Source organism: Homo sapiens, chromosome 11 (assembly GCF_000001405.40).
Source record: "Homo sapiens chromosome 11, GRCh38.p14 Primary Assembly".
Taxonomy (NCBI): Eukaryota; Metazoa; Chordata; class Mammalia; order Primates; family Hominidae; genus Homo; species Homo sapiens.
The window spans coordinates 117,165,548-117,177,770 of record NC_000011.10 but is presented as its reverse complement, the minus strand read 5'-3'; the positions used below and the strand labels follow the sequence as shown (position 1 = coordinate 117,177,770).

Here is a 12,223-nt window from a genome sequence, read left to right as displayed (position 1 = left end):
TGAGGTCAGGAGTTCGAGACCAGCCATGGCCAACATGGTGAACCCCATCTCTACTATAAAAATACAAAATTAGTGGGGCGTGGTGACGCGTGCCTGTAATCCCAGCTACTGGGGAGGCTGAAGCAGGAGAATCGCTTAACTCTACCAGGCGGAGGTTGCAGTGAGCTGAGATCATGCTCCTGCACTCCAGCCTGGGCTGCAACAGAGCAAGACTCTGTCTCAAAAATAAATAAGTAAATAAAACCGTATATATTCCAAATGCATATAGACATGCATAGAAAAATAGAAAAAAATTGTACTAAACATTTAGCAATGTCTCCAGAAAGCAGGGCAAATTTTAAAAATAAAATTTAGCAGTAGTTATCTTTGAATTACAATTTTAAAAATAACACATATTGTATATCATTTTCCTTTAATTCTAAAAATATAGAGTAGTACCAAAAAATAAAAAATAATGGATTGTGAGTGGTTCTTAAATTTTATTTTTTATATTTAAAAAGATTTACAAATGTTCTACAATGTATATATATTTATATATTGCTTTTTTATCTGCCGGGGGGTGGAGACAGGGTCTCGCTCTGTTGCCCAGGTTGGAGTGCAGTGGCACAATCTCAGCTCATTGCAACCTCTGCCTCCTGGGTTCAAGCAATTCTCCTGCCTCAGTCTCCCGAGTAGCTGGGATTACAGGCCATGTGCCACCACGCCCAGCTAATTTTTGTATTTTTGGTAGAGACGGGGTTTCACCATATTGGTCAGGCTGGTCTCGAACTCCTGACCTCAGGTGATCCACCCACCTCAGTCTCCCAAAGTGCTGGGATTATAGGCATGAGCCACCATGCCTGGCCACATATATTGCATTTATAAGACAAATTAGACTTTTTTTTTTTTTTTTTTTTGAGATGGAGTCTCACTGTCACCCATGCTGGAGTACAGTGGTGTGATCTCAGCTCACTGCAATCTCCGCCTCCTGAGTTCAGGCGATGCTCCTGCCTCAGCCTCCCAAGTAGCTGGGACTACAGGCACCCGCCACCACACCCTGCTAATTTCTTGTATTTTTAGTAAAGCGGGGTTTCACCATATTGGTCAGGCTGATCTCGAACTCCTGACCTCGAGTGATCCACCCACCTAGGCTTCCCAAAGTGTTGGGATTACAGGCGTGAGCCACTGCGCCCGGCCAAATTAGACATGTTTAAAGGAAAAGAAATGTGGCCACCTCTGAAGCTGTCAGACATCCTAATAAAGCCACCCAGATCAGTGCCTTGTCAGAGTTCTCTCAGCTGGCAGGATTGCAGCAGTCTCAGCTCCCAGCCCTGCCCAACTATCTGGAGCCTTGTTCCAATGAAGACTATTTTACCTTATGATCAGTTAGTTATATTTACTCATTCCTGCAATAAATATTTAATAAGCATCCACGATGTGCCAGGTACTGTTGTAGTTATGCTGGGCAAATGGTGAGTGGAGGAATTAGTTTTGGCCCCTGTCCAAGCACAGCATACTTGAGGATGAAGACCAGAAGCAAGCTGCACCCCTTTTCCAAAGGGTTCACCAATTAGAAAGTCAGCTGGAAGATAACCTTATGGGTTTCCTTGGCCAACCCCTCATTATACAGATGAGGAAAGTGACGCTCAGAAAAACTTCAGCCCATTAGTACCTCACTAGACTCAAGTTTGCACCTTGGTCCAGTACTGTTTCCAGCACATCTAGGCGAATATGAATCAGAGAATCCTCAGGATGGCAAAAGAGGTTTCTTCATCATGAGCCCTCCATGCAGTCAGCTGCCAAGTTTGGAGAATCAGTGTAGGATTTCCTCAGTCCATCTGGACTTTTCTTTCATGGTAATCCTGCTCATCTTGCCAGTAAATAATCTGAAACATTAAGAAACACTCGTGATACATTGCCCAGGCTGGTCTTGAACTCCTGGCTTCAAGCGATCTGCCACAGCCTCTCGAGTAGCTGGATTACAGGCAAGCACCACTACTCTAAGTTGGCCTCATAACTTTGGGGCAAGATGTGACCCTACGCCTGTTTTAAACGCACATCCAGAGTCCTACTTCACACTTAATTCATCTTGGGAGGTGGAGCCCAGAAAACTGCAATTTAACGGGGCACTCCAGAAGCTTGCTATGCACAATGAAGTTTGAGAACCACTGCTCTGGAACCAAACAACTGTGGACTATCACTATTTCTGTTTGCTCCCTTTCCGCTGGCAATATCTGGAGAGAAATCCATCCAAGCAAACTCTGAAGGGATCCTTCCCTTTTGCAAGGTCTCAAGACTTAACTTTTGAATCGTCAGGACCCTGCGTCTACAGAGTGGGAGGGCAGCAACTGCACATTTTCTTGCTGTTCCCAGGTCTGCAGAACTTTCCTCAGTCCCTCTGCCCTACCCCGCACTTATGAATAGGTCCTTTCTGAGGTCTGTCCACTGGGAGAGAATGCCTTTTTGTTGGCTGCAGCAGTCAGCAAAAAAAGGCAGTGGTGTGTCTCAAAGCCAGACTTGTGAGCACACAGGGGAGATGTCGGGGCCTCAGGGATGTGATCCTGGCCTTGTGCACAGGTCCAGCTACCGCATTCCCTGGCATAATATACAAAGAGCTCAACCCTAACCGTGGCCCTCAAGCGGTCAGGGTGGGGCCATAAGGCTTATTTGACTTATATTTCCCTGTGGACCACCCTTCCTGAGCCTGAGTGTTGAATGGACCAAAGAAATGGGACCATTCAACACACAGCTGAGGAGCTTGCTGGACCCATGAGTCCAGCTCCATTTTAAGTCACAGGGGATTTATGAAGTTTGGGGTGAGAGGACAGGGAGGAAGCTTCAGGTGGCTCAGGGGTATTGTTAAAATGACCTGAAGATGGCCTGGTGCGGTGACTCACGCCTGTAATCCCAGCACTTTGGGAGGCCAAGGCGGTTGGATCATCTGAAGTCAGGAGTTTGAGACCAGCCTGGCCAACATGGTAAAAGCCCGTCTCTACTAAAAATACAGAAAATTAGGTCAGGTGCAGTGGCTCACGCCTGTAATCCCAGCACTTTGGGAGGCCAAGGTGGACGGATCACCTGAGATCAGGAATTCGAGCCCAGCCTGACAGACATGGAGAAACCCTGTCTCTACTAAAAATACAAAATTAGCCGGGCGTGGTGGCACATGCTTATGATCCCGGCTACTTCGGAGGCTGAGGCAGGAGAATCGCTTGAACCTGGGAGGCAGAGGTTGCGGTGAGCTGAGATCACGCCATTGCATGCCTGGGCAACGAGTGAAACACCACTAAAAAAAAAGAAAAAAAAATGGCCAGGGGCGGTGACTCACGCCTGTAATTCCAGTACTTTGGGAGGCTGAGGTGGGTGGATCACCTGAGGTCAGGAGTTTGAGACCAGCCTGGCCAACATGGTGAAACCCCGTCTCTGATAAAAACACAAAAATTAGCTGGGTGTGGTGGCAGGCGCCTGTAATCCCAGCTACTCGGGAGGCTGAGGCAGGAGAATCACTTGAACCTGGGAGGCAGAGGTTGCAGTGTGCGACCACAGGCCATTGTGCTCCAGCCTGGGCAACAAGAGTGAAACTGCCACACACACACACACACACACACACACACACACACACACACAAAAGACATGAAGACTGCACTCGAGCAGGATTTTGTAAGAATCACAGTAAATGGATTAGCTGAATCCAATCAAATTATTTAGGAACCTGGGAGGTAGGGAGTAGCCATGCCTATGGGTGGGAGACAGAATCAAAACAGATTTTAGTATCATGTAATGGTATAACTTTAACCCAGAAAAAAAAGATTCAAAACCAACCCCTCTGAAGGAAATGAACCTGAAGCTTTCTGTTTTCACTGTGATTATAAAAAGGGCTGTTTTTTCATTTGGTGCTTAGAAAGAATTGTCCCAGACATAAGCAGCTCCAGCAAGAGTTCAGCACTTCTTTCCATCATACAAGTTCTGTTCTTTCCCAGGGCTGCCCTTGTGTCTGGTTATCTCTCTTCCTGCAAGGACTGCAAAGACTGGATGCATGTTAGATTGGGAATCAGTTAAAGACACAGGATTTAATCTGCCATACTGGGGAAGGTCTCAAACCTGTCACATGGCTTCATGGTATTACGGAAAAAGGACGGACTTTGATGTCAAAAAGTTCTACAGTCACTGGGAGCTGCGGTGGCTCAGGCCTGTTGCCCTGGCACATAAGGAGGCGAGGCTACGTGTTTGAGGCCAACCTGGGCAACATAAAAACCTCTCATCCATTCAAAGAAAAAGAAAAAAGAAAAAAAAAGTTCTACAGTGAAATCCCTGCATTGTGTGCTTTAGGCAAACCACTTGAGCTTTCTGAGCCTTTTGGGAGCCTTGTCTGGACTTGGTCTCTACTGTCCTAAGTACTCACAGTGGAGCTAGGCTTCCCTGCATTCACCATCCTACTGTCTAAAGAACAGGAAGAGAGACAAACGAGATAAGCTCTGACCAAGTGGGCAGTACTTTCTCCTAGAGATAGGTCAGTCACTTTCCATTTCCTAAAACTGGGCTTTCACCATTCACACTGGGAAATATCTGTGATATACTCAGGCCCTGCATCTGGTTCCCTCTGGCCACGTGATGAAACCAACATCAGAGCTTTCCAGGAAACAAGGCTGGTCATCAGGTTGCAGAAAACAAGCAGATAAATACTTGACCGTCTCAAATCTCTGCCTCCAAAGATCACCGATAAAAATGAGCCAGCTCTCTTATTTCAAGAAAGCTTGGGTCTTTGGCTTAGAAATCAGAAGACAGGCGGCTGGGTCCGCGGTGGCTCATGCCTGTTATCCCAGAACTTTGGGAGGCTAAGGCGGGCCGATTGCCTGAGGCCAGGAATTCGAGACCAGCCTGGTAAACATGGCGAACCCTGTCTCTACTAAAAACACAAAAACTAGCCAGGCGTGGTGGTACACGCCTGTAATTCCAGCTACTCAGTAGGCTGAGGCACATGAACTACATGAATCCAGGAGGCAGAGATTGCAGTAAACCAAGATTGCACCACTGCACTCCAGCCTGGGCAACAAAGCGAGACTGTTTCCAAAAAATAAAAATAGAGTAGGAGCTAGACCAGCAAAGGGGTAAGAGCATATTCCAGATAGGGGGCTCCCAACTATGGGCAAAAACATAAAGGAAGCTCAGTGCTCTTGGCAGAAAAGTTCAAAGTAAAGGGTGGAAGGTTACAAATTAAAGAGGCCAGGTCATGGAGACTGTTAGATGTTACATTTAATGGCTTGGACTTGATCTTTTAACTCAGTGGCTGACAAGCAAGCTGCAGTATACTGATGTGTTATGAATCCACTATAAGCATACTGCCAAAGCTTGACCAGAATGTAAAAAAAAAAAAAAAAAAAAAAAAATATATATATATATATATATATATATATATATATATATATATATATATATATATATAAAGCTAGAATGAACCAGCAAGTAGGCAAAAGGCATAGCATAATATCAGGCCACAAATATTATATGTTTAGCAAAACATTGAAGATCTTTGCTTTATAGCTATGTAAAAACATGTCATTGGGTTAAGATTTCATCTCTGCCATGGCTGGAAAATAAATTAGGGGACAGATTCTCATGTTGGTTTGTCCAGTTTTCCCCTCAAGTACAGATGCTGGTGAGGGAGCTTTTTCTTTCTTCCACATTACTACCACTTCCACTTGTTCTGGGCCATTTAAGAGGTTCACATGGGGTAATCCACATACAGTAAAGCAAAGCTTCAAGATCCAGGCTGCTTTCACTGCTGCTGTGTGGCCTGCAAGCAGCTGACAAAGGCCTCCAGGAGTGTGGGTGGAGAGGAACTTGGTGTGATGAGATACTGGGGAGGGGGGAAGGGCAGCTAGAAAAACAAAATGTCTCAATTTACCTCCAAATTTTTCCTCCTAAAGCAGCAAATCATTTTAATCCAACAGTATACCACTGAGGTGAACAGTGATAAAGCAAATGATACAAAGATCACAGAAACTTTTAGCTGCCAAGGAACATCATACCGGCATACCAACTCACTGTAATATTGCTGGCCTGGTAGTTGCTGGTGTGTCATCAGGATAGGTCCCGATCGACCAGTTAACCGACCCTTGTTCTAGTCTCACTATCTCTGAGATAGAGTATTTGGAGGCGGCTGCTTTACCCTGGGGACGTAAGGGTGATAAATGAGTCCGTGCTCAAGGTTCATGTCCTCTATGCTGTAGTAACACTGTATTTTTTTTTTTTTCCGAGACAAGAGTCTCGCTCTGTTGCCCAGGCTGGAGTGCAATGGCGCAATCTCGTCTCACGGTAACCTCCGCCTCCTGGGTTCAAGCAATTCTCCCACCTCAGCCTCCTGAGTAGCTGGGATTACAGGCGTGAGCCCGGCCAATAACACTGTATTATACTGACTGATGACATTCACCCAGTTCAGATGAGGTGGTCCACAGCCTATAATCCAGACTAACCTATCTGCAAAACTATTCCAATCTAATGGAAAAGAGTAGACTTCAAGGATGGCAGTTGTGCTTTCTGAGGGGTCCTTATACCTACTCATCCCACCCTACCAATCTACATGCCCGAGAAGGTAAGTGATGAGTCAGCCTGGTGCATTCAGTTCCACAGTAAAGAAGCAGGATCATCTAAGTATCCAATTTCCTTATGATAAGGCAGGGAAAAACCATCCCTTTTTTTCATTAGAATCCAAACTATGATAAAGGAGACAGAAAGACACCAGCAAATTGAGCAAAATGTTTACATTTATATTGAAATATACACTAAAACAGAATGAGTTCTACTAGTCAATGAAACTTTGCCAAAGCAAAATCACAAACTTCCAATGGGGAGGTCCAGTCAGCTAGCAGCAGTGATCCCCAAGCAGGAACACCAAGAAACCTGGGGGACCCCTCTCCAAAAAGCCTCCTTTCAAGAGGCCCTAACTCACTTCTCCCACATGCACCCACACGGATTTAGGAGCTTGGACATGCTCCTCATTTCCATATATTTTTAGTTTCTTCTTCACTGCAATAAATATAAAGTTGGCAATGCTCATACACCACAGCACAGACAATATTTCAGGCTTTAGCATACAATTGTAAACAGTGACTAGGTTAAAAAAATAAAATAAAGTAAGTTGGACTTTTTTTTTTTTTTTTTTTTTAAACAGACAAAATTCCTAAGAGCCGGGCATGAGCTACTCAAGATTTGTTTTGTTGGGTTAAGGTTTCTGACAAAAGATTCTGGTTTAGGCAGATGCCCCTGACAGTTCAAGTAGCCTCACGGTGGTAGCCAGAGCGCTGTCTACGGCGACCGAGAACACATGGACTGGAAGACAGCCTGCCCTAGATCACCCGTGGCAGTACATCTTCAAGCTGCCACATTCAACATATGACCACAGACATCTTTATAGTTCCATCACTGGCTGCCATCTAGTATAGCAGGAATGCGTGGGCGAAGGAATACAAATTTGCTGGGAGAGGAAGAGAATAGTATCTCTGCTAGCTGCCTGGAAAGTTGGCCCCTTAATCACAATGACAACTAGGACATTTCACTTGGACAGTGCATTAAATTTATAGATTTTTTAAAAAGTACAAAGACTAAGCAGTAAGTTCTGTCACTGACGCAAACTAGGATGTCAAAGAAAAATAGATTAACTATTTTTACCTAAAGTAGTGCAAAGAAATCTGGCAAAAAATGAAAGTGAACTCAATATCTGCACATCAGTAATGGGGCAGAATTTTATTTAAAAGGCTAGTGGTTCAAATACTATTGCTTGAATAGCTCTGGTAGATATAAAATGTAGTAACATCTGAGGTTTGTACACATGAGCAAAGGAGCTGAGGGCCAGCTCACAAAGGGATATTTGATCCTCAGTCAAGAGAGAAGCTAAAAGCGCATGCTGCAGGAGTAACCTAATGGATTTATTTGGACCATACTCCCACCTTCTGACAAACAGAAAAAGACGTGGATAGAAAACTGTCTTTCCACACACAAAAATCTGGCTTAATTCTTCTTGCTATACAACTATACCTCAGCTAAGAAAAAAATCTCTTGTGAAAAACTCAACCTGGGCTACTAAAAATAAAAAGGAAATTTTTAATGTCGTAAACAAGTTTAGTAAACACCATGTGGATTTTCTGTTGTTAATGAAGACATGATACATTCAAAAAAGTATGTATTTTTTAAAAAGAACAAAACCAAAAAATTTTCTAGAAAGAGACTTCACAAGAAAAAAATGAGCCCAAGGTTCATCCCTCAATCAGAAATCGGTCTTAGCACGCATCAGTAAGCCCTCCTCCAACATACAAAAGCACTGAAATTTGCCTTTCAAGTACGTTACTGAATTTAAACATTAAGCGGAATCACTGCAGAGCATATTTTGATGGGTTACTTCAATACCCACCTGGTCCAGTTCAAAATATCTATAGATCCAGTTTGTACATATTCCACAGGTATACTGATAAAATCATCTATTATCCCATTTTTTTTAATGGCAGTTCTTATATAGCTCGAACATTAAGATCAACAAATTCTCAGATGAAGTACATTAATAAGACACCTCAGAAGTGAAACAAACCTAGTTTTTACTAAAATGATGGGATAAAGGTAGTGTCTATGCTGAAGAGCAGCTTCACTTGTTTCCCCACAGAAAAAGGCCCAAAATTTTTGGAGGATAATTTAAAAACTAAGCCAATAAGGCCAGGCACGGTGGCTCATGCCTGTAATCCCAGCACTTTGGGAGGCCAAGGCGGGCAGATCACCTGAGGTCAGGAGTTCGAGACCAGCCTGGTTAACATGGCGAAATCCCGTCTCTAATAAAAATATAAAAATTAGCCGGGCATGGTGGCATGCACCTGTAATCCCAGCTACTCAGGAAGCTGAGGCAGGAGAATCATTTGAACTCGGGAGGTGGAGGCTGCAGTGAGCCAAGATCACACCATTGCACCCCAGCCTGGGCAACAGTGAAACTCCATCTCAAACAAAACAAAACAAAAAACAACTAAGCCAATAAAAAAAATAAAATATACACCTTAAGATATTATAAAACTTGAAATAATGTCAGGTGCTATGGAATGGGAAACAAGAGTTCTGAATCCCCCCACCCCCAAAAAAAACTGTTAACAGGTTTTAAGGGAAAAACAAAACCAGAACTCCGAATATGAACAGCAATACACAGAATCTATAGCACAGAACACCACACAAGAATGAGTTTTATAGCAGTACTATCATGAGAGTAACTGGCTGGAGACTATACTTCCAGCAACAGGGCTCCTAGGTCAAAAATGTGTTAAAAGCTTGTAATGTCAACAAGAACCAAAAAAAAAAAAAAAAAAAAAAAAACGGGGTGGCGGGGGGAATGAAGGGGAAAGGGGGGCATGAAGGGGAATAAGGAGGAAAGGCTGCATGCACGGGTCTATTATAGACATGATATTCAGCAGCATAAAAAATAATACCCTCCAAAGAATCCCTCTACTGGGGCAAAACCTGTTTTTCACTGCTAAGCATGGAAAAGATTAAGAAAGCAGAACAAATTCACTTCTAACTATAGCATCTTCCATATATCAATGACAAGCATGTTCAACCTGATGCTACATGTTAATAAAATATTCAGTATACATAAGAATCTAAGCAACATAAAAACAAAAGGCTAAATTATGAACCTTAAAAAAATTGGAGAAAACATGTTTTAAAGCCAAGTAGAATGATTCTGATAATTATTATATATGACATAATCCACAGAAAGGCCAAGAAAAGAATCTTCATATTGTTCAGTATTTAGGCTTGATGTTGTCCCAAGAAAACAGTGATAATAATTCAATGAATGTGTTACACATACAACTAAAAAGTCCCCTTCTGGTTTCAAATGAATTTAAACAACAATCTTCCTTGGCTAATTTTTCTCCTCTGTCAAACAAACCTTCTATGTACAGGACCAGTTTAAATCCCTCCTCCCCTTCAAACACTAGATATGAACATCCAGGAACATTCTACAATGCAAAGTGCCTTAAGAAAGAGAAGGATTCTGTAGTGCCAGTGATAGAACTGATCTGAGGAAGCTGAGATGCTATTAACACTGATAAGAGCCAGTCAGGCAATGGTGGTTTGTTTCTCCTCAGGTGTTTCCTCCAACAACTGCATGATCAGTTCATGCAGGGGTTTGCAGATCTTTGCATAGCCCCCTCCTGTCAGATGCAGAAAATCAAACATGTCGTGGCAGGAGATGGCACCGTCCGAGTGCACAAAACCCCCGTCGGTATCCAGGAGCTGCACGTTGGCAAGCTTCGGCAGCGAAACCTTGAGGAGTTGGTTCACCTTGGCGTTCTTTTGCCTCAAAGGATTGGGTTTCTCACCTCGAGGTAACAAACCCTGGGGCACAGTGGAAAACATTAAATTAGAAGATTCACTTATTTTTCTCTACTTATTATTTATAACTTCAGATATTCCTGGAACATCTCCATTTGGCACTTTCTACACCTTTGAGTTGTGAAACATTGGAAAATACTGTTTTGAATGAAAGCTAACCATTTCTTCTTAGTTTTTTCATGGGTTCCCTTCCTCCTGTCCCTTAACTGTTGGTATTCTTCAAGGACCTGTCCTCTGGCCCACTACTCTAAATACTTTAGCCAGATCTCTTCCTAGAGCTTCAGAATTACATATGAAACTTCTAAGCTACAGAAAGAAATTTAAATGTTCCCAAGGCACTCCCAACTGATCCAAAAGCAATTCATTAAACTATGCTCTTCCTCTTTATCAACTGGTCATTCCAACATCTGCAAGTCTCACATCCCATATATCTTATCTATTTATCATTAAATTATTCAACTTTTGCATCCTAAATGTCATTTTCTTGTCTCCATCCTGATTATATACACTGCTATAGCTCAGGAACTTATCTCCAATCATCTTAATTACTATAAAACCTCCTGATTGGTCTTCCCACCTCCAACGTTGTCTACCCTTCAATCCATTCTCCATTTGGCTGTCAGAATAATCAAGCTCATAGATACACATCATCTATTAATGCCACATGGAACCCACACCATAATATACTATGAGAAAAAGAGGTGGAATGAATGCTGTCTTGATGAATCAGAGCTATTCACCCTGGAATAACCCTGGAATAACTGTTTTAATTTTGTCTTCTTGTAGCCCTTTTCCAATTGCATAGATACTAGGATTAGGCATGAGCTACCATGCCCAGCAAAGCAATTCAAAAACATTTTCACTTAAATACACCATAAAGTCTGTTTGCACACAGCCCTCATAATTGTAATGTGATTACTGCTATCATATTCAATGACTTATACAATCATTTCCATGATACTACTATTTAGGTTATTTCCAAAGTTTTAGTATTATGGACAACACCATAATTAACACTTTTGTATATCCAATTTAAAAACAAAGAATATGGAAGGCTTATTGAGCAACATTCATACAACAAATATTTCCTAAGCAAATACTATGTACTAGTCACTGTACTTAACAGGTGGACTCTTAACACAATCCTTTCTGGAATAAGGCAGGTATAAATAAGTACCTCAACAAGTAAATGAAATGCCTTGTAATAAAAAAGATCTGGCCCCCCAGCAACTGTGGATAAAATCCAAACATCCCAACAGCATATGAATTCCTACATGACCTGGTCTGGCGCAGTGGCTCACGCCTGTAATCCCAGCACTTTGGGAGGATGAGGCGGGCAGATCACGAACGAGGTCAGGAGTTCGAGACCAGCCTGGCCAATATGGTGAAACCCCGTTTCTACTAAAAACAAACAAAAATTAGCCGGGCATGGTGGCATGCACCTGTAGTTCCAGCTACTTGGGATTTGAGGCAGAAGAATCACTTGAACCCGGGAGGCGGAGGTTGCAGTGAGCTAAGATCACGCCACTGCACTCCAGCCTGGGCAGTAGAGCGAGACTCCATCTCAAATTAAAAAAAAAAAAAAAAAATCCTACATGACCTGGTTGTGGCCTCCTTCTCCTAACCATCCCAGGCTCAAACTTTATGCAGCCTCCTCTGCTCACCCAACAAACACATACATGTACAAGCCTTTGCTCAATTCTCTTTATTTTTCTATAATACCTTCCTTCTTTCCCTATTTGTCTGGAAACCAATGAAGTCTTTGAATGCAGATGTCAACTTTTGTTAAACACGTTTTCACCTTACTCTAAACAGCACACAGTATAATAATTCTGTGTTGCTGTCTCCATACACTAGACTGTGAGCTCCTTGAGAC

At 42.7% G+C, this 12,223-nt stretch overlaps 1 protein-coding gene across 13 annotated transcripts in view; it reads right to left on the bottom strand.

Annotated features, from left to right (window-relative positions):
- PAFAH1B2 (platelet activating factor acetylhydrolase 1b catalytic subunit 2) overlaps positions 1–12,223 on the bottom strand; it is a 33,887-nt gene that overhangs the window by 403 nt on the left and 21,261 nt on the right. For 3 of the 13 annotated variants that reach the window (XM_047427042.1, XM_047427043.1, XM_017017840.2), the window contains 2 exons: positions 6,025–10,350; positions 1,652–1,865 (listed from right to left, as the gene is read on the bottom strand). In XM_047427042.1, coding sequence (XP_047282998.1) covers positions 10,072–10,350 — 279 coding nt within the window. In that variant the 3' untranslated portion in view covers positions 1,652–1,865; positions 6,025–10,071. Of the gene's footprint in view, positions 1–876; positions 2,879–6,024; positions 10,351–12,223 lie in introns of those variants that run through there. The other 10 variants (NR_110282.2, NM_002572.4, NM_001309431.2 and 7 more) reach the window with 7 other exon arrangements.